Below are 20,879 nucleotides of genomic sequence, written 5' to 3' on the forward strand. Positions count from 1 at the left end.
TCGCCGCACTGTCTTCCTCATTGGTTGAACTAATTTACACTCCCACCAACAGTGTAAAAGCATTCCTATTTCTCCATATCCTTTCCAGCATCTGTTGTTTCCTGACTTTTTAATGATCGCCGTTCTAACTGGTGTGAGATGGTACCTCATTGTGGTTTTGATTTGCACTTCTCTAATGACCAGTGATGATGAGTGTTTTTTTTCATATGCTTATTGGCCGCGTAAATGTCTTCTTTTGCGAAGTGTCTGTTCATATCGATGTGCTGTATTCAGGAGACCCATCTCATGTGCAAAGACACACATAGGCTCAAAATAAAGGGATGGAGGAATATTTACCAAGCAAATGGAAAGCAAAAAAGAGCTGGAGTTGCAAACCTAGTCTCTGATAAAACAGACTTTAAACCAACAAAGATAAAAAAAGACAAAGAAGGGCATTACATAATGGTAAAGAGATCAATGCAACAAGAAGAGCTAATTATCCTAAATATATATGCACCCGATACAGGAGCACCCAGATTCATAAAGCAAGTTCTTAGAGACCTACAAGGAGACTTACACTCCCACACAATAGTAGTGGGAGACTTTAACACCCCACTGTCAATATTAGACAGATCATCGAGATGGAAAATTAACAAGGATATTCAGGACTTGAATTCAGCTCTGGAACAAGCAGACCTAATAGACATCTACAGAACTCTCCAACCCAAATCAACAGAATATACATTCTTCTCAGTACCACATCGCAGTTATTCTAAAATTTACCACATAATTGGAAGTAAAACACTCCTCAGCAAATGCAAAAGAACAGAAATTATAACAGTCTCTCAGACCACAGTGCAATCAAATTAGAACTCAGGATTAAGAAACTCACTCATAACTGCATAGCTACATGGAAGCAGAACAATCCTCTCCTGAATGACTACTGGGTAAATAATGAAATTAAGGCAGAAATAAATAAGTTGTTTGAAACCAATGAGAACAAAGACACAACTTACTAGAATCTCTGGGACACAGCTAAAGCATTGTTTAGAGGGAAATTTATAGCACTAAATGTCCACAGGAGAAAGTGGGAAAGATCTAAAATTGACACCCTAACATCACAATTAAAAGAACTAGAGAAGCAAGAGCAAACAAATTCGAAAGCTAGCAGAAGACAAGAAATAACTAAGATCAGAGGAGAACTGAAGGAGACAGAGACACGAAACACGAAAAACCCTTTAAAAAATCAATGAATCCAGGAGCTGGTTTTTTGAAAAGATTTTTTTTTTTTTAGACTGAGTCTCACTCTGTCATCCAGGCTGGAGTGCAGTGGTGTGATCTTGGCTCAATGCAACCTCCATCTCCCAGGTTCAAGTGATTCTCCTCTCTCAGCCTCCCAAGTAGCTGGGATTACAGGCGTGTGCCACCATACCCACCTAATTTTTGTATTTTTAGTAGAGATGGGGTTTCACCATGTTGGCCAGGCTGGTCTCAAACTCCTGACCTAAGATGATCCGCCCGCCTTGGCCTCCCAAAATGTTGGAATTACAGGTGTGAGCCACCGCACCCGGCAGTATGTATTATAGGATCTCCTATCAGGGTGTCCCACTCATAGCATTGGCAAATTAATGCTGGCTATTAGCAGGAAGCCTCAGTTTCTTGCCACACGGACCTCCCCATAGTACTGCTTGAGCATGCTCAAGAAATGGAAGTTGTTTGATTTTTTTCCCCAGAGTGAGTGGTTAAGAGAGGACTTTTGGAAGCCACCATGCATTCTGTGACTTAGCCTTGGAAGTCACATACCATCACGTCTACAATATCCTATTAGTTACAAGATGAAACCTATTCAATGTGTGAGAAAACTACATAAGGGCATGAATAGCAGGTGGTAAGGATCATTAGGAGCCATCTTGAAGAATGGTTACCACACTACCATTCCTTTCTTCTTAATCCTAAGTATAGAACTCCTGCTGTCTCCTGAGGATTTGTTAAGCACTTTGTTGCTCCCACATCCCCCTCAAAAAAAAAACTTAATTAAAAGTAGCTAAGTAGAAACAAATATTCAACACACTAGTAATAAATGTAGATGTTACTGAATATTTAGAAAGGAGATCAAGAAGAGGACTGACATCACACATCACTTGATAGAAACAAAATTAATTTTTCTTTTACATCTGCCTGCTTTCCCTTCCCAAATCCCTCTCTTCAGCTGCCAGCTGTCTCATTCCTCTTTATCTCTTTCCCACATAGCCTCAAAACTCTCCTTTGTTGTGCCAAATAATTCAGCTCTGGTCCTGAGTTTACAAACACATTCTTGGCAAAACAAAATCCTGATGGCCATTCTCACTTTCTTTAGAATGCAAACATCTTTGCCCTATTATGGAAAATAGGGATCAAAGTAGCTTATTGATATTTACTCAACAAAAAGTCCTATTTCCTAAGGTGGAGGGAGAGAGACAAATATGTTCTCTTGTTCAGAAAATAAGTTTTTTTCTCCTAAGTGTTATATATATATATAATATACTCTTCTAGCTTCCAGATCCAGGGAGGACAGTGATCCTTCTGTTTCTTGCTGATTGGTTGCTATACCTGTTTGAAATTATAGCTCTTACATTTTTGTCATTGAGTTAGTTGCTGATCAGTTGCTATACCTGTTTGAAGTTACAGATCTTATGTTTTTGCCATTGAGTTAGTTACATCCTTTCTTATTTTGTCACTGAGCTCTTAACCAGCTAGCCTACATCTCATCTTGTTTAGAAATATTCTTATGATTTCTGTTTTTCAGTTCACCTGATTCTGGAAAAGAAAAGAAAACTTTGCCCCTGAAGGACGCAAGCAATTATGAGTGGATACTACATAAGGGCCCTAGCTTTGTCATGCTCGTTGATACACACTCCCACCTAGCGCCTTGCACTCAGAAGATTCAGTTCATATATCTGTTAATTGACTCTAACTGACTGAGGTTCCCTGGATGAGGAGAGCAATGAGAACAGAGGCTTGTCAGCCTGCATAATCCCTACTAATAAGCTCTACTATACTTTGATGCTTATCTTCATTTTCTTAAACTGAAAAAAAAAATCTTTTGGCAAATTCCAAAGGAGATCATCACTGAAATCTTGCTGAGTTCAACTTATAAGCTTGTGGGCATTAAAAATTATATCAATGAGGTCGCTGCCCTGTAACTGTTCACACTTTTATTTAGAGGGGACCAGCAAGTTATGACTGTAGAATGTTGATACCAGTTTTGAGAGGACAGGTTTAATGAAGCACATCTTATGCCTCTTCATCCTTTTCATACTCATCCATAAAATATGAGCTCTATTGGCTATGTAGTAATTAAAGGCTGAAAACAAGAAGGGGCTATTATGAGCTAAGAAGAACGGTAAGACATTTATTTTTGAGGGTGGCATAATCTCTTTGGGGAAAAAAAGTATGGATAAAAGGGAGAGGGGCCAGGCGCAGTGGCTCACACCTGTAATCCCAGCACTTTGGGAGGCCGAGGTGGGTGGATCACCTGAGGTTGGGAGTTCGAGACCAGCCTGACCTACATGGAGTGACCCTGTCTCTACTAAAAATACAAAATTAGTCGGGTATGGTGGCGTGCTCCTGTAATCCCAGCTACTCGGGAGGCTGAGGCAGGAGAATTGCTTGAACCCAGGAGGTGGAGGTCGTGGTGGGCTGAGATTGTGCCATTGCACTCCAGCCTGGGCAACAAGAGTGAAATTCCGCCTCAAAAAAAAAAAAAAAAAAAAAAAAAAGGAAAAGAAAGAGAGAGGGAGGTAGAAATGAAAGGGTCTATTCAGAGGTGATTGCAAAGATAAATCTAGATGTCATAGAGGGAAAAGTAGTGAGAGGGAAGGCTGGAAAAGGAGGTTTCTCTGGATTCTAGAGGCTCTTGAGTTGCAGATCAAAGCTTGGATTTTATGCTATTGGCGATGAGCAGTCATTGATGACCTAAAGTGACATAATAATGAAAATACTGCTTTGGGAAAGGTAACCCGGGTCACCATGTATATGAAAGATTAATGTAAGGAGAAATTGAAAGCAGGAAGAGTAACAGGAAAATTTCAGAAATTTAGAAATGAGAGAGAAGAATTGAGCCTATGAATATTCCAATGCAAATTAATGTTCTATTTTTTCTTTGCAGTTTCTAGTTTCTCAAATTTAGGCTTCATGCAATATGCTTTGAAAATATGATGATTATATTAATTCATAGAATCACTGATTCCTCTTCTACCCCACCAATGTTTGTAAGGTGCATTCTGATAATTTTATTAACCATACCTCTTCGTAAAGGTGGTAAAATATTGAAGCTCTTAAAGTGGCCTTGGCAAATGCATATAACCTGTGAGTGTATTGTGCTTAGAATTATTATAAAATGATTTTTAAAGGATCTTCACCCAGGCACAGCTAATATGAGTAAGAATCCTAAATGTAAGTTACTTCTAGACCAGTGGTCCCCAACCTTTTAGGCACCCGGGACAGGTTTCGTGGAAGACAATTTTTCCATGGACGGGGTCTGGGGGGTGATTTAAGGATTAAACCGTTCCACCTCAGAACATCAGGCGTTAGTTGGATTCTCGTAAGGAGGATGCAACATAGATCCCTTGCATGCATGTGCAGTTCACAATAGGGTTCATACACCTATGAGAATGTAGGGCCTCCCATGATCTGACAGTAGGCGGAGCTCAGACTGTAATGCTTAATACTGGCTGGCCAGCCACTCATCTCCTGCTATGCAGCCCAGTTCTGACCCAGGCTGCAGCCCAGGGGTTGAGGACCCCTGTTCTAGACATATTATTGCACTTGTATCATTTTACTGCTAATATATTACTGTATCATTTTACTACGAATATATTGTCACATTATAATAAATTCCAGATGATAGCGCAATCACAGCACAAATACTTATCTTTTCTAAAAAAAATTCCAGTTGTAGATTTGTTCAATGCAATGTGGTATATTTTATCTTTCTAAAGAGCAGAGCAGTGTGGCAATTCTGAATATACACGTGCTTGCTGAAAGCGATAAATTGGTGATTTTCTCCTTCGTGGGACAGAAACAAGTGAGATGGATATAAAGAGAAAATCCTACAAGTAATAATTTTAGAGCACTTCTTAGTAGCAATTTCAATTTGTCACTAGCACTCTATGTATTCCCAACTGTTACTCCTTTCATTCCATAATTTTTATTCTCAGATCTTTCCATTTCATATCCCAAAGATAACATTTGCTCAAACATAAAAATAACATTTAGCTGCCTTTGCATGGCCCTTGCAAATTTATCTCTCACTTCTTGTTTCCCTTAGTTCCCCAGTAGCCTTGAAAAACACCCAAGTTGGCTGAATTCTAAGCCGAATGACTGTGATAGCTCCACAGTAGCATAATTCCAAATGCTTATTTGATAGCTCCAATTGATGGCTAATTGGCCCTTCAAATTTAACATACTTAAAAGGAAATTTCTGTTTATCCTCTACTCTCAGAATTGATTCTTCTTCAACTTCTCCTCCTAGTACATGGCACTACCATTAGTTGGCTGCCCAGGTTAAGAAAATCATGCTAATTTTAAAAATTAATAATAAATAAAAATCTAGATAACATTTATTTTTCTTCTCATTCCCTAAACCTCTACCTACAAGTATACAATCTTCCAGAAACTTCAAACTGCAAAATATATTCCAAATCTAATCACTTGTCTCCTTTTCTGCTGCCCCCAACCTTAGTTTACATCTCTCTTCAGCTGTCCTTCAGGTGTTTCCTCATGGGTCTCTGTTCTCTTGTTTGGCCTTTGATCCACACTCTTCACACAGTAGTGTTGACTGTAGGCTCCCCAAATGAACAACAGAAAAACCTTTTGATCATACATATTTAAGTTTTTGGACCTTCTGCTGTAAGAAAAAAACATAATTCTACAGAGTCTTAGTAGGATCTCAAAATGGGAAAATTAGAATAGGTTATTTATTATATTTTACAGCTTGGTCTGGGTTATTTCAAGGTGGGTCTTGTTAGGCAGGGATTGGTTAAGTTTGGACAAATTTCATTGCATAGTTTTGAATTGTCGGATACATTTGAGTGAATGGATTTGGATTGGTGGGTACTGTGAGACAATGGTTTTGAAATGAGTTGTGACAAATATGTCACTGAGTCAGTTCATAGTCATCTTTTAGGAGCAGGTGTTTCTTGGACCAAGCATCTAGGTTATTTTGGCTTGGAGTAAATATTCTTTAATATGGAGCAGAAATGTATGCCTGGTTCTAGTTTCATAGAGAGAGAAAATTATGCTTCATAGGTATTTAAACTTAAAACATCTCTTCATATCCCTGCTTATAATCCTTGGAAAGCTTCATGCTATGATCAGAATAAAATTTAAACTCAAATTAGAAGATCCTAAATAGGCTGTCCCTTGTCTCCTCACTGACTTCAGTTCTTACCACTCTTCCCCTTACTCTCCACATTCCAGCCACACTAGCCTTTCCTTTCCTTGAGTAAACCAGGCTCGTTCCTGCACTTGCGAATTGCCTCTGCCTGGAATGGGTCTTTCTCTTTCATCATTTGAAGTCTCCCACAAATATCATCTCTTCAGAGAAGACTTCTTAAGGCTACCCATCTAAATCAGCTCATGACTCCCATATCTCTTCACTTTAGAGTTCATGGCACTCATCCCTACCTATACAAAATTATGGTCTTTTAAGCCTGATATCCTCTATTCAAATCTTTCTTCTGCTACTTATTAGCAGTAGAACCATGACTATGTTACTTTGACTATCTGTGCCTCAATTTCCTCATACATTAAAAAAGGACAATGATGATACATATGTCATAGGGTTGTCATGAGCCATAAATGAATTTAGCTTTGTAAAATGTTGACTCTCTAAATATTAGCAATACAACTTGTTGGTAAAATAACTGTGATAAGGAAGACCACTACCTCAGGAGAACTACTTTGGTTTTGTCTCCCAAAGGTGAAGGCAAGGTCGGGATTTATTGAGAATTGGAAGTTTGGTTTAAGGTGGGGTTTTTTCAAAAAGAGGATTTTATTAAGATTGGGTATGAATCAGGATATAACAGTCTAGGATTGGTGAAAACAGGAAAGCCAGGATTTTGAGACAGGATTTCAAAAAATTGTACTTTGTAAGTTCTCTGTTGATTCTATTGAAAAGTTGGGAAGAGATGGGTCTTTTGGAAAGTCCCTGTAACGAACAATCAAACCACTTGCTTCAGCCAGAAACTCAGGGAAAGTAATGACAGTGGGATACAAAGTTACATTATCGTGGAGGTATGAGGTTAGGGAGCTTTAGTCCTCAATATCCAAGCTGAATATACAGGTAGATGGTTTTGGTGCTCAGCATGTAAAGCATATAGAACAGTGCCTGGCACATAATAAGAGCTTAAGTAAGGTGAATTTCATCATTAACTTATTATTGTCATGGAAGCCACAAGGGTGGTCATTTGTCTGTATCTCCATTTCCTGGCACAAACATTGCTTAGCACAAAGTAGGTACTCAATAAATCATTGTGGAATGGATAAATTTATTTATTTACTGGTTTTCTGTTTGTCTCCCTAATTAGGATATAAACTCTGCGAGAGAGAAAAACATGCCTTTATTGTTCATCAAAGTATTCCAAGGGCCTGCGGCGGTATTTGGCCCACAGTAATCACACAAAGTGTATTTGTTGAGTAAATTAATAAGCTTTTAAGTATCACAAAAGAATCTTGAGTGTAAAACCAGCTCCCAGTTTCTTTCACCTCCACTGAAAGGTGTGAGTCCAGAAAACGAGAACAAAATGAAGAACAGAAGAATAAAAAACCCAGTTACATTCTAAAATAAATTGGGGGAAATGCTGGTTTAAAAAGTTAAGTAAGATCCTTTCCTGTAAGGTTTCTCAGATCCTTTAATCTGCCAATGTGCATTGTTGATTACTAATGGGAAATAGTGTGTATACTTGTTTGATCAGGGAACTTGTTTTTCCCCTTTTTGATTTGAGAACACTTATTTGCATCTCTGGAAATACAACATTAGCGTTATTTGAGATGTTCTTTGGGAAATGCTGTATTAAGCAGTTTTATCCAAAGTCAGGGATGCCATCATAGGAAGCCGAATGAGACTCCTTGGCAGTGATCTGGTGTTGAGTCACTTCAGGGTGATGGGAGAAGCACAGATGAAGGCAGTCCCATCCTGATAGGGCTAGGGCTCCTCCAGAGACTGCACATAAGTGCCCTGTTTGCTACCAGAAAGCACTCACATGTGAGGGAGAGTCTGGTTTAATGTCCCCCTAGTTGGTGAACACTCTCCAATCTTAACCACAAGTTTCCCACGTGTCTCTGACATGGAGTGCCATGAGAGAAGAGTTTTCTACTAGATACTCAGGCAGCATTTTGTTCTTTTACTTGGCCCTCACGTGTACCTTCAACTTGGGTTTTACCCCTAAAAACTTATGTTGTTGTGTTTGGGGGAAGTCAAAACCAGGACACATGAAGGATTCATATTCTGGAGCTTGTCTACTTAAAATGACCAATGCTTTCAAACAATTATTTCATATTCGTATGCCTCAGATTCTTCAGGAAGAAACTGAGTAGCTTGAATGATAGTCATGGGTTCTGAATTGTACATTGTATTAGTCCATTTTCACATTGCTGATGAAGACATACCTGAGACTGGGCAAATTACAAAAGGAAAAGGTTTAATGGACTCACAGTTCCACATGGCTGGGGAGGCCTCACAATCATGGCGGGAGGCAAGGAGGAACAAGTCACGTTTTACATGGATGACAGCAGGCAAAAAGAGAGCTTGTGCAGGGAAACTCCACCTTATAAAGCCATCAGATTTCATGAGACTTCTTCACTATCACAAGAACAGCATGGGAAAGACCTGCCCCCATGATTCAATTACCTCCCACCATGTCCCTCCGACAACGTGGGAATTCAAGATGAGATTTGGGTGGGGACACAGACAAACCATATCATACATTGAGGAATTTTAGTTTGGGCAAGGCAGGGAGGTGGGCCTCTGGGAGCAGCAAATAGGCAACTCCTGTTAGTGCCTCTAAGTCAATGCAATCTTGCTCTTATTTGCTCTATGCAACTTTATTAGAAGAGAGGAAGTTCCTACTTAAAAGGTAGTTTTTATTAGCCCCACCTGTGCAATTTCACTTGAAGACATCTGCTACTAAAAGTAGTTTGAAAACTACTGTACTAAAAAATGGAGTCCACTGTCTTTTTTTGTATGGTCTCCAAGCTAACAAAGGTTTTGATATTTATAGATGGTTAAAAATGTCAGAAAAGAGGAATACAAATTAAGCATTCCTAATCTGAAAATCCAAAAATCTAAAATGCTCCAAAATCCAAAACTTTCCTGGTGCTAACATGACTTCATAAGCGGATAATTCCATACTTGGCCTCATGTGACTGGGTTTCAGTGAAAATGCAGTCAAAATTTCATTTTGTGCACACAATTATTAAAAATACTGTATAAAACTACCCTCATGCTATGTGTATAAGCGGTATATGAAACATAAAGGAATTTCTTCTTTAGACTTGAGTCCCATTTCTGAGATATCTCTCTATGTAAATGCAAATATTCAAAAATCAGAATAAATCAGAAATTTGAAACACAGTCTCAAGCATTTCAGATAAGGGATACTCAACCTATATTCCATTATGCACATAAATTATATGAGATTCGGATTTTAGTGTCCATAAATATAGTCTTATTGGAACACAGCCACACCCATTTGTTTACATATTGTTAATGGCTGCTTTTTATTGTCTATGGTGCTTCAGCAGCAGAGCTGACTATTTACCACAATGACTATATGATTCACAAAGCCTACAATTTTTACTACCTAGTCCTTTACAAGGAAAGTTTGCTAAGCCCTGACCTAGATGATTATTAGGATCCTTTTCTACCCCCAACATTTGATTTTTGTTCATCTTTGTGGAACCATATTGACTGGCTATGTAAGATTCTTCTCAAAGCAAATTGAATCAAGCCAGGACTCTTTCACTATGTTATAAAATCGATTTAATTATGTTACAACAATCCTTCTCATTTGAGAACATACACTACCTAACTAATCCATGTCTTTCAATCTGCCTTCACCTTCATTCTGAATGGCGTTTGGTATATTCTACTTTGTTATGTTGAACATTTCTTTTTTTATAGTATTTTAACGGGGCAGCATAAAATTGCATGGCTCCTCTGCAATGTAAGTACTTTAGCACGACAGAGTTATAGGGTTGTAAGGAAGCTTGAGATGCCATCTAATCTCTCCTACTCCTTCTGGACAGAATTATACTTAAAGTACCCTGGAAAGGTTTTGGTTTACTGTAGTCTTTAAAAATCCCTCCACAAGAACATTTCCAAATACTCACTTTGTAGCACATCAGCTGTCAAATGATTTGTAACTTGGGTGCCTATGTCTGACCAAAAGTATATTTAGAGTTGTTCCATTTTAAGGCTTTAAAATGGTTTATTAATAGGGCAGTACTTCCAGCTACTCAAACCTTGATTTTTATTCCAGCCCTGAGTCTTAAATCTGGGCAAGCACGGCTTCTCAGACATGGTATCTTCTAAGGGCAGTGATTAAGAGGCAGGACCTGGGAGACTACTCTGTTGTTGCATGCTCTATTCTCCCCTCCACACTGTAAAATCCTCGCGGATAGGAGCAGGATTTCTTTTTTTTCCTAACTCCCATAGCACACACAGAGTGTATTGAAGAATGTTCAGCCCAACCTCTTTGCAAGCATCTTTATTACAAAAGATGAAGGGAGGGTGGATGTAATCAAATATGTACTTTATATTGGAAAGCAACCAAGCCTCTCTGTGCATGCACTACCCTCATACAATCGATAATAAATTAGCATTTTATTTATACTGTATAATGCCGTTCTTTTCAGGAGTCTGATTTGGAAGCCAACTACTGTTTGTGTTCTCCAAAGTGGTTTTTGATGGAGTGCTAATTATGTTTCACCTCAAGAGCAATGCTGACGGGGGACCACAATCGCCTTATTGTAGTAGATCCAGCTGATGAATCTCCAAGGATAGCCTCATGCTATATTCTGGGGGGCAAGTAAATATAAAAATACATTTTTGATCAAGAAAATGATACCATTTACACAACAGTAGCAGGATTCAGCCTTTGTAAAACAGCTGCATAGCTGCATAACTGTGACGTGATTTTTTTTTTTTTTAGTAGAGAAAAAAACATGGAGGAAAATATATATCAACTCAGGACCCTAGCTGAATCTGGGGTTTAGTAGTTCATGGTGGGGGCAGGGGACTATATTTTCAAATAAATCTAGCCTAAGTGAATTTTTGTTCCAGATAGAAGACCAACTTAATAAATGAGTCCTGCGTAGAGAAGTATGTCACATTTAGCAAAAGAAGACACGCGCAGGTAGAGCCAATCTTTTCACTTGTGCGAACCTCATTAATCCTGTCACATAAAGTTTTGCACTTGTATTTTAGCTCAACTCAAGGAAGCTTGATCCAGATATTTTTTCAGTATATTTTTCAATACAACATAATAAAGATTGGAGAATATTTTAACTCCACCTTTTTTTCTTTAAAGCTTTCTTGGCCAGGTGTGGTGGCTCATGCCTGTAATCCCAGCACTTTGGGAGGCCAAGGTGGGCAGATCATCTGAGGTCAGGAGTTGATGACCAGCCTGGCCAACATGGTGAAACCCTGTCTCTACTAAAAATACAAAAATTAGCCAGGCGTGGTGGCAGGCACCTGTAATCCCAGCTACTTGGGAGGCTAAGGCAGGAGAATTACTTGAACCCGGGAGGCGGAGGTTGCAGTGAGCTGATATCATGCCACTGCACTCCAGCCTGGGCGACAGAGAGAGACTGGGTCTCAAAAAAAAAAAGGCTTTCTTTGGGTCAGGCTGCCCTTTGCAAACACCATTTTTACCACCAAAGTCCCTGCAGCTCATATACTAGGCTGAGATATATGTATGTATGTATATAGTATATAAAAATGGACGTGCTCTCACATTGCTAGAGGTACATAGACTCTCTGCATGACTTGGGATTCAGAAAGTGTGTAAAATTAAGTAAGATGACAATAGCAATCCATTAATTATTCTACATCTACCAGAGCACACTTCCATGTTTGGTCCTGTGCTTTTAAGGAAAGACCTGCCTTTTAGTGTCATGAGGGCTCTCAGGAATGGCATCTTGATGATCACAACATTAAATCCAACTCCTCTGTCAGGCAGCTAAAGTGTTAATTTATTTTGTAATTAGATCTCTCACCAAAGCTCACAGGAACCTGCATTTGGATCTCATTTGATTATGTATAGACCCTTTTATATATGCCATCATATTAAAGGTTCATTCTATGTGGCCTGCCTTATGTGCTCAGTAAACATTTGTTGAATGCTGAAACAAATCACCCTGGGGTTAAAGGAAAGCGTTGAGGGTCACAGAGGTTGACTTGCCAAACGTTACTAAGCTACTATGGGGCTAAGGCAGGAGTGAATAGTTGCTGCTTTAGGCAACTCCACCCACCCCCGACCCCGTTTGTGCTCTTTCTTTTTTTCTAAATTGTTCTAGCAGTCTATGATTTGGTGTACTTCTTTGGTTAAAAAAAAAAACACACACGAACAAACAAACAAAACCTTAAGGGTCTTTAAAAAATAATAAGTTATCTGTTATTGAGGACTTAATTTTGTGCACTACACTGTACCAAATGCTTTATATTTATTAACCTATTTCTTTTTAAGCAATAAATCTAAAAGCTTGGTATTCTTATCCCCATTGAAAAATTACTTTAAATAAAAAAAACCTCTCCAATGACTTTTATTATATTCACATAAAGCTAATGGGGCCGATTAAATGTTTATTGTTAAATATCCATGAATCATTTCAAATATATATGTATTTTTATAATTGTAACTCATAGATAATAATACAGTTGGGCTACAAAAGCTATTTGGAGGAAGACAACAATTCTAAATGGAATGTGATTTGTGTTTGTCAAGATTATGTCAGCAATCTATGATTTTAGCAATTTATTTGGTCCATACGTGGATAGAAAATATCAAGCACAGGGAAGGAAAGTATAAACATTTGTTCAGCAACTACTATGTGTCAGACATCATTGATGTTTGCCATATTTAGATGTCACAAGGACCCTGTGAGATCCTTTAAACATTTTCTGTAATTAAAGATGAAGCAACTGAGTCTCATGGAAATTGGGAAATTTGCTCAAATACTTTACTTTGACCCAAAGGAAAATGCAAGTAAACCCATACCACTGGCTGAATATTGGGTTTTAAGGGTTTATAGGGAGAAATATTTTTCAAAATGTATCTGACTTGGGTGGGTCTTGAGTCTAGATAGAATAAAGCACTCTATCTTCTGTGACCTGGGAAAGGGGTGCCGTTGGGGGTGGGAGGAGTCGGGATGGAAAATCAGGTCTGTTTAGGACCAAATTTAGTTCCCATTTAAAACACTGAACTGCTTCCAAAGAAATTAAACTCATGACCTTGGTCTACATGAAATGAAGCCAGATAAATTAACCTGACATACACACTTATATAAGAAATCCTTGAAAAGGAAGAGCTGATGAAACCAGGGAATCATATTTCCTGTAAGAAAAGTTGGTAAAAATACCAGTGAGGTACTTTGGTGTATCATATTATAATACTATCAGTAGTATAAATGAAACGAACAAAAATGGTAAAAAAAAAAAATTGATCTAGAATAATGTCATCAACAAAGTATGCAACCATTTCTTTTTTCTTCTTTCCAACTTTTATTTTAGGTTCAAGGCATACATGTGCAGGTTGTTATATGGGTAAATTGCATGTTCCAGGGGTTTGGTGTACAAATATTACATATCCTATTCTAAGTGCTGAAAAACTAAAGTTTTTAATGCTCCTATCAGCAAAAAGAGCACCAAGCAAATAAACATGTCCTAATCATTTGCCATGGTAGTAGATCATTAAAAAAATACATTTATCTTAATTACAGAATACATGCTAAGCAGAGGTTCAGAAATAAAATTTCTAATGGGAACTGACAGATCGACAAAAGGCTAACATAATATTTGCTTCATTTGTAACAAGTATTGGTTGAAGGGTCCAGGTAACTCAACTAGCCTCAGAATAAAGGATGTAAAACTGAAAAGGAGATTTTAAACATTCTTTTTTAGTAGCAAAATTACACACATGTTTTATATTAAAAAGGTAATGAAAGAAAAGGTGGAATTTTAAAATTACGTGAATTTCTTTGGGATGAAAGCTTCTGGAGGCCTAGTGACTGCTGAACATTTCTAGAAAAGAAGACAGGTGACCAAAAAGCAAATTGGAAACAAAAGACAGAATGTTTGAAGATGAAGGCCAGAGGTAATCGATTTCATTATTATATTACATCATGTAAAAAATTTCTTATTTCATTTTAAACAGATACACGGCCATGATGTAGAATTAGATTTTCTTAAAACTCCAAAGAAAAAGAAATAGCAATTTAGAAAAGCAAATTGTAGGATAAGATATCAAACTAGTTAGTCATCCAGTTGCTTCTAATGTCAAGTGTTTTCTACTTTCTGGCACACACCCTTGCTATTGCTTTTCCATTTCTCCCTGGTCATTCTCCTCCTTTAGTGTCCAACTCAGACTTCAGCCACCCAGACAAAGTATTTTCTTCTCCTACTCTTCTGATTGTGCTGAGCCACTTTGCTGCCTCTAGCCCTGCCACAGCACCTGTTGAATTTGCATTTCAGGTGGCCGTTGAAATTGCATTTCAGTTCTGAGCTCTGGTGGATAGGAACCAGGTGCCATTGATGTTTTTCACTTTTTCATATATTCTCAGTGCCTTCCCAGTTGTTTAGCCTTCACCTGTCTTGCCCTTCTCTGAATTCCAGTCCCATCAGCTTTCTTTCTGTCCCCATCCTTGTCATAAAGCCCCATCCTTGTCATAAAGCCCCATCACAGCATTTGCCCTATGCCTGGGCTACTCTTACTTCTCTTTGCCTAATTATTTCCTGCGTGTCCTTCACATCCCATCTCAGAGAGGCCTTCGGTGACCTCTTCATTTAGATCAAATTGCCTTGCGTTGATAGTGTTGTGTACCTAGCATTGGGCACATTTGCAATTATAAATTTGTTTATTAAGATTTTACGGCCGGGCGTGGTGGCTCACGCCTGTAATCCCAGCACTTTGGGAGGCCTAGGCGGGAGGATCACGAGGTCAGGAGATCAAGACCATCCTGGCTAACACGGTGAAACCCCCTCTCTACTAAAAATACAAAAAATTAGCCGGGCGTGGTGGCGGGCGCCTGTAGTCCCAGCTACTCGGGAGGCTGAGGCAGGAGAATGGCATGAACCCCGGGAGGCGGAGCTTGCAGTGAGCTGAGATCGCGCCATTGCATTCCAGCCTGGGCAACAGATCGAGACTCTACCTCAAAAAAAAAAAAAAAAAAAAGATTTTACACCCCTACCAGACTATAAATGTAATGGGGGCATATACTATGTCCATATTTCACTTAAGGTTATATCCGTAGCTCATTTCATAGGGCTGTACGTATAGTAGATGGCCAATAAACATTTGTGAAATACATTGATAATATGGGGTGTGTAACATTTGTACTTTTGAATCTAATAAATACTCATGGTTTAAGTCAATTATCAGTGGTTTATGGTTCAAGATGTTTGCTCTTAATTTTTCTTCACTGTATCAAATAGAGATATTGAAATTTCACTTTTACCATTTTCCACATTTTTTTCCAGTTCCAGTAAAATTCAGATTTAGTAACCCTTTCCTACATTATTTCTTTCCCCAGTTATTTTAAGAGCATTTCAGTAGATAAGCTGGTAACAGGGGAGAAGGAAAAGAAACTAAAGGGAAGGAAAAGATATTCCTGATAAAAAAGGTTTAACTATCTTGCCAAAATGAGGTTCTAAGGGAATTTGATTAAAGAAGTATTAAATATATGGACATTTGTATATTTGATACTCAATTTTCAAAGACCTTTTCCCTTTAATAAAGTAGTCAAGTGCTTTTACATGTGGGCTGTCTGACCCCAGTAGGGGCATAAAAAGGCTAAGAATTCTGGCTTGTTGGATTATGGCAGTTGGACATTTGAAACCTACAATTTTGATGTGCATCCAAAATGCCACTGGCTAAAGAGACCCCCCTCTAACCCTGTCCTTGCTTGTGCTACAGCTAGAAGCACACAGGTGAGAGCAGAATGAAACACCTAAGAAATCTAAAGAATTGGAGTTTAGGACCAGAAAATGAAGGTTGGTGTTCGAGAGGCTAACTGGAGATTTTATAATGTCTGGCACTCTGGGGAAGAGAACCCACAGTGTAAAGTTTAAGGAAGTAAAATGTATCTACTCCTTTATATTAGGCGGTAGTGTATTTTGCCTGTGTTTTTGTTATAATCAACAACATTGTGTTATGATTGATCCATTTTAGGTCTCTCTTTTGCAAGACTCTCTGGGTTCCTTGGATGATGAAAAGGTTGTTTTGTATTTTCATATGTCCAGCACTGAGCAATGTGCTTAACACTTAATAGATGCTCCAGAGATATTTGCTGAATGAATTCCCATGTCCTCCAAATTTGTCCTATCCTCTCTGATTAGTTTATTTAATTAATTTATTTATTTTTGAGACGGAGTCTCACTCTGTTGCCCAGGCTGGAGTGCAGAGGTGTGATCTCGGCTCACTGCAACCTTCGCCTCCTGGGTTCAAGTGATTCTTGTGCCTCAGCCTCCTGAGTAGCTGGGACTACAGGTGCTTGCCACCACGCCTAGCTAATTTTTGTGTTTTAGTAGAAACGGGGTTTCACCATGGTGATCAGGCTGGTCTTAAACTCCTGACCTCAAATGATCCGCCTGCCTTGGCCTCCCAAAGTGCTGGGATTACAGGCATGAGCCACCATGCCTGGCCCTCCCCAATTAGTTTTTGTCTTTTTTTTTTTTTAGTTTAATGTATTTTAATAGCAAACTTACAGGAACAGCACAGAAGACAGACAACATTCAAAACATGTACTTGGATGTAGGACAACTCAGTCAGAAAAGTATAGTGAATGGATGGAATCTACTGTATGATAAAAATGCTACAAACACCATTTAGTTGCCGTCAATAAGAAATGTACTTGTTTTGAAAAAATCCAAATGCCGGCATTGTCCAGAAAAATTTAACGGGTTTATTTATAATTATTTTAAAGTTGAACCGCTGAAACTTGTTCACTGAAACATTTTAACTTGCATTAATGCTTTATGACTCCACATTTATATTAAAAATTCACACACAAATGAAAATGGAAAAACTGCCAATACCTAATTACTGTCCCCTATTTTTCCACTTGCAATCACATACTTAGGTACATTTTGACCCCATGGAAAAAAATTAACGTTCAGAACTACCAGTAACAGGAAGAAGAGACTTTTTTTTTTTATTGAGAATGAAATGTTTCCCATCATAGTGGATTCTTAAGCACGTTCTCCACGTATGCAGCCTGCTAGCTTGATGTCTTTTGGCATAATTGTTACACGTTTGGCATGGATAGCACACAGGTTGGTGTCTTCAAAAAGGCCAACCAGCTAGGCCTCAGTTGCCTCCTGCAAAGCACCGATAGCTGCACTCTGGAAGCGCAGATCTGTTTTAAAGTCCTGAGCAATTTCTTGCACCAAACGCTGGACGGGAAGTTTGTGAATCAGAAGTTCAGTGGACTTCTGATGACTAATTTCACGAAGTGCCACAGTACCAGGCCTGTAACGATGAGGTTTCTCCACCCCTCCAGTAGAGGGCGCACTCTTGCAAGCGGCTTTTGTAGCCAGTTGCTTCCCGGGTGTTTTACCACCAGTCGATTTGCGGGAAGTCAGCTTTGTAGGAGCCATGATATAGAGACCTCCTTGCTTAACCACCCTTCTCCTTCGGCTGGAGCTCGGCGAGCTAGAGGCGGCGCTGGCTAGAGGCGAGCTAGAGACTGGCTAGCTGGCGAGCTAGAGAGCGACGGTGGCGGTGGCGCGGCGGCGGCTGCGAACACAATTGCTCCAATTAGTTGTAAGCATATTTTTTAAACCATGCTTACCTATGTTATACTATAGTTGTGTAAAGATAATTTAAAGCATTAACAAAGGATTTAACCATTTAGTAATCAGAGAAGGAAAAACGTGTTAGAAAAAAATGAAGAGATTAATCTTTGTACTTTAGCTCAAGAAAACCTGGGTTTCTTGGTAAAAAAAAAAAAAATGTAGATTCTTGGGTCTAATCCTGGATCTAATGAACAAGAATTTTTTGGATGATGCCCAGGAATCTGCCTTTAAAAAGTCAGTTACTTTTGGGGACCAGTGTTTTGAGATATAAATGTTAAGGAGATGGGCAGGAAAACAAATATTCTTACTAGCATTGTTTTATCTTGACTTTTTCATGTCTGAGTGTGGGAAAATCACTCTATAACACTTCACTTGTGATAAACCGCTCCAGATTCCAAAGCAGAAGCAGAGTGAGGATGGTGTGTGTGTGTGTGTGTGTGTGTGTGTGTGTGTGTGTGTGTGTGTGTGTGTGTTGGAGTTACTGGGTTGCCATTAAACTTAATTGACTCTAGTTATTTCTGTTTTCTCATGTCATGCCCAGGATAAATAATGAGTCTCAAAAGCATTGAAATACTTTTGACCCCTAAAAAACAATCTATTAGTGTTTTGATTTTATAATACATGTAAGAGTTATTTGTTACACCTGTTTCTTCTCTTTTTTATCCTCCACTCTTGTCAAAATGTCAGTCATTAAATAATAGGTATTTTAGATAAGAATTAAATATGTAGATATTTATTCACAAAGACCCTGCAATTTTCCCCAAAATAGAAAAAGCCAACTTTTGTCTTCAGTGAAAGACAGAAAGGGTAACATATGATATGAATTATTAGATATAGGATACTCAAATTCAAATTTGTTTATTATAAATTTGTTATTTTAGAAATGACAGCTAGGACATGGAATGACTAAAAATATGTACATTCAATAACACATTTAGAAATACAGGAAATTTTAGAACTAGGTACTTTGAGAATTAAGAGATTAAGAAGGGATTATTTTCTATCTGCACAGTTCTCAGGGAATAGATATGATGAGTGATCCTAACTATTTGAGTAAATGTCAACTGCCAGCAGACACCACCAGCTTATATCGAAGAAAAGTCACAAAAAATATGAAGAGATTCATCACACTGGGAATGGAAAACATCGAATAAGTCAGCAAGTCCAGCAAAAGAAGAAAGTATTACAAGTATAATTTAAAAATAGTTTTGGCAAGAGGAGGTTGGGGAGAAAGCAGAGTAGGCTATAATAATAATTATAACTCAAAGATGGGCCAGACCTAAATGTACACCTTGGCCTCTTTCCATCCTAAAATGTTCTATATTAGCAAAAGAGGTGTTATGATTTATACTCAGCTCCAAGTCTAGACTGGTTTAGGTTTCCTGTGTTTAATTCTGCTTCTTTCTTAACAAAAAAATCTAGTCATCTAGATCTCAAGTGAAATGTGCAATTGAAGGTATAAAAATAAAATTCAATTGAGGAAGGCAAGTTTGTCCTTAAAATAAAATTTAAAATACCAGCATTTATTTTTAAAAAACTACCTAATTACATCTAGTCCCATACATATGTTCAAGATTAATATGCAACTGATGCATGAAAATAAAATTCAGCTGAGGGTAACTACTGTCTCATTAAAAAGAAAATAGAAAACTAGCATTTCTATGAAAACGTCTAGCTAATCATATAAAAACTCATATACATGTGCATTGACAAGTAAATGCTGGTGATATATTATTTGATTGAGGTCAATTTTTATTCTAAATATTTTTGCATAGTGGGAATTTGTTATGTTAAATAATTTTGGGATTGGATCTCTGAGAGGGCTTAGTAATATATTTTATATTAAATTAATCACAGTGAAAAAATCTTTGAAATAGGCTTGATGTTTATAATTATAGTATTCTGTGTTTAAACGTGAAAACATTGTCTCCTTTTAAAAATGGTATTAACTCTAGGAGACAGGATATATAATGATCAATTCTTTCTACCATGAAACTCTATTAATTACTAAAAGTGTTAGTATGCAAAATACAATATAAGTTGATAAGAAAAACCAATTCACATTTGATACCCAGTGGACAAATTAGAATAAAATATTATAATGTTCAAAGAACACTCTATATTCCATAATGTTCTCTGTTAAGCCTGTGTCCTTCTGAGTATGGTGAGTGGCAATTCTGGCCTTACCTTCAAACATCTGCTTCATGTTTAAATTAAATTATGCTACGTGCTTGTCCCTGCATAAGAGTAGCAAATACTGAAAGTACAGTGAAAGGGATAGTAAAAGACTTCTAAGTAGGAGAAGTATTAAAAATATTCTCCAGCTGGTAAGGCTGGAACACTGATGATCAAGACAGTTCTGTTGAAGGGTGGGAGGCGCCCTCTTCTTTGCTCCTTCAGGTGTTAACCTTTTTTTTTTAGATGGTGGTTGATTGCAGGGCCTGGAGGAGGGCTTGAGTGTGGCCTGTGTGGCCTGGGTCTAGAGAAGCTGTTATTTACCAACCAATTTGGAAAGAGTTTAACTACGGTATTTAAAACTGTGGCAGCTGTATCTGACCAAAAGTTAAGCTTCTGAACTTTTCCCCATAGATCACAGAGGGCGGGCCTCCAGGGAAGGTTTCAAGCAGGAGGCTGACTTGAGGAGGTTTTTGTTTTAGAAAGAGCCTTCAGGTAGCAATGTTGAAGATGATGGATTGCATGAGTTTGAGAAAACATTCAGGAGGATTGGTTTTAAAACCTAAGAAAAGAATTGAGGTAGTGGCTAGGGAGCAGAAGTGAAGAAATGGATGTGAGAACTACTTTGGAGGAATAATTTTACAGAGTCAGTGACAGTTTTAGAATTGGATAG

At 38.2% G+C, this 20,879-nt stretch overlaps 1 protein-coding gene and 1 pseudogene across 1 annotated transcript in view, besides 1 other annotated feature; one reads left to right on the forward strand and one right to left on the reverse strand.

Moving 5' to 3' along the window:
* IL1RAPL1 (interleukin 1 receptor accessory protein like 1) overlaps positions 1 to 20,879 on the forward strand; it is a 1,369,273-nt gene that overhangs the window by 54,191 nt on the left and 1,294,203 nt on the right. The gene's annotated exons all lie outside the window — the stretch shown is intronic.
* Positions 1,560 to 2,460: an enhancer, noted in NCBI's record as "OCT4-NANOG hESC enhancer chrX:28661313-28662213 (GRCh37/hg19 assembly coordinates)". NCBI's record gives its function as "activates a minimal SCP1, AML or CMV promoter by ChIP-STARR-seq in naive H9 embryonic stem cells {active_cell/tissue: H9 hESC(naive)}" and the evidence as "EXISTENCE:reporter gene assay evidence [ECO:0000049][PMID:30033119]".
* H3P43 (H3 histone pseudogene 43) lies at positions 17,429 to 17,833 on the reverse strand (annotated as a pseudogene).

Source organism: Homo sapiens, chromosome X (assembly GCF_000001405.40).
Source record: "Homo sapiens chromosome X, GRCh38.p14 Primary Assembly".
NCBI lineage: Eukaryota > Metazoa > Chordata > Mammalia > Primates > Hominidae > Homo > Homo sapiens.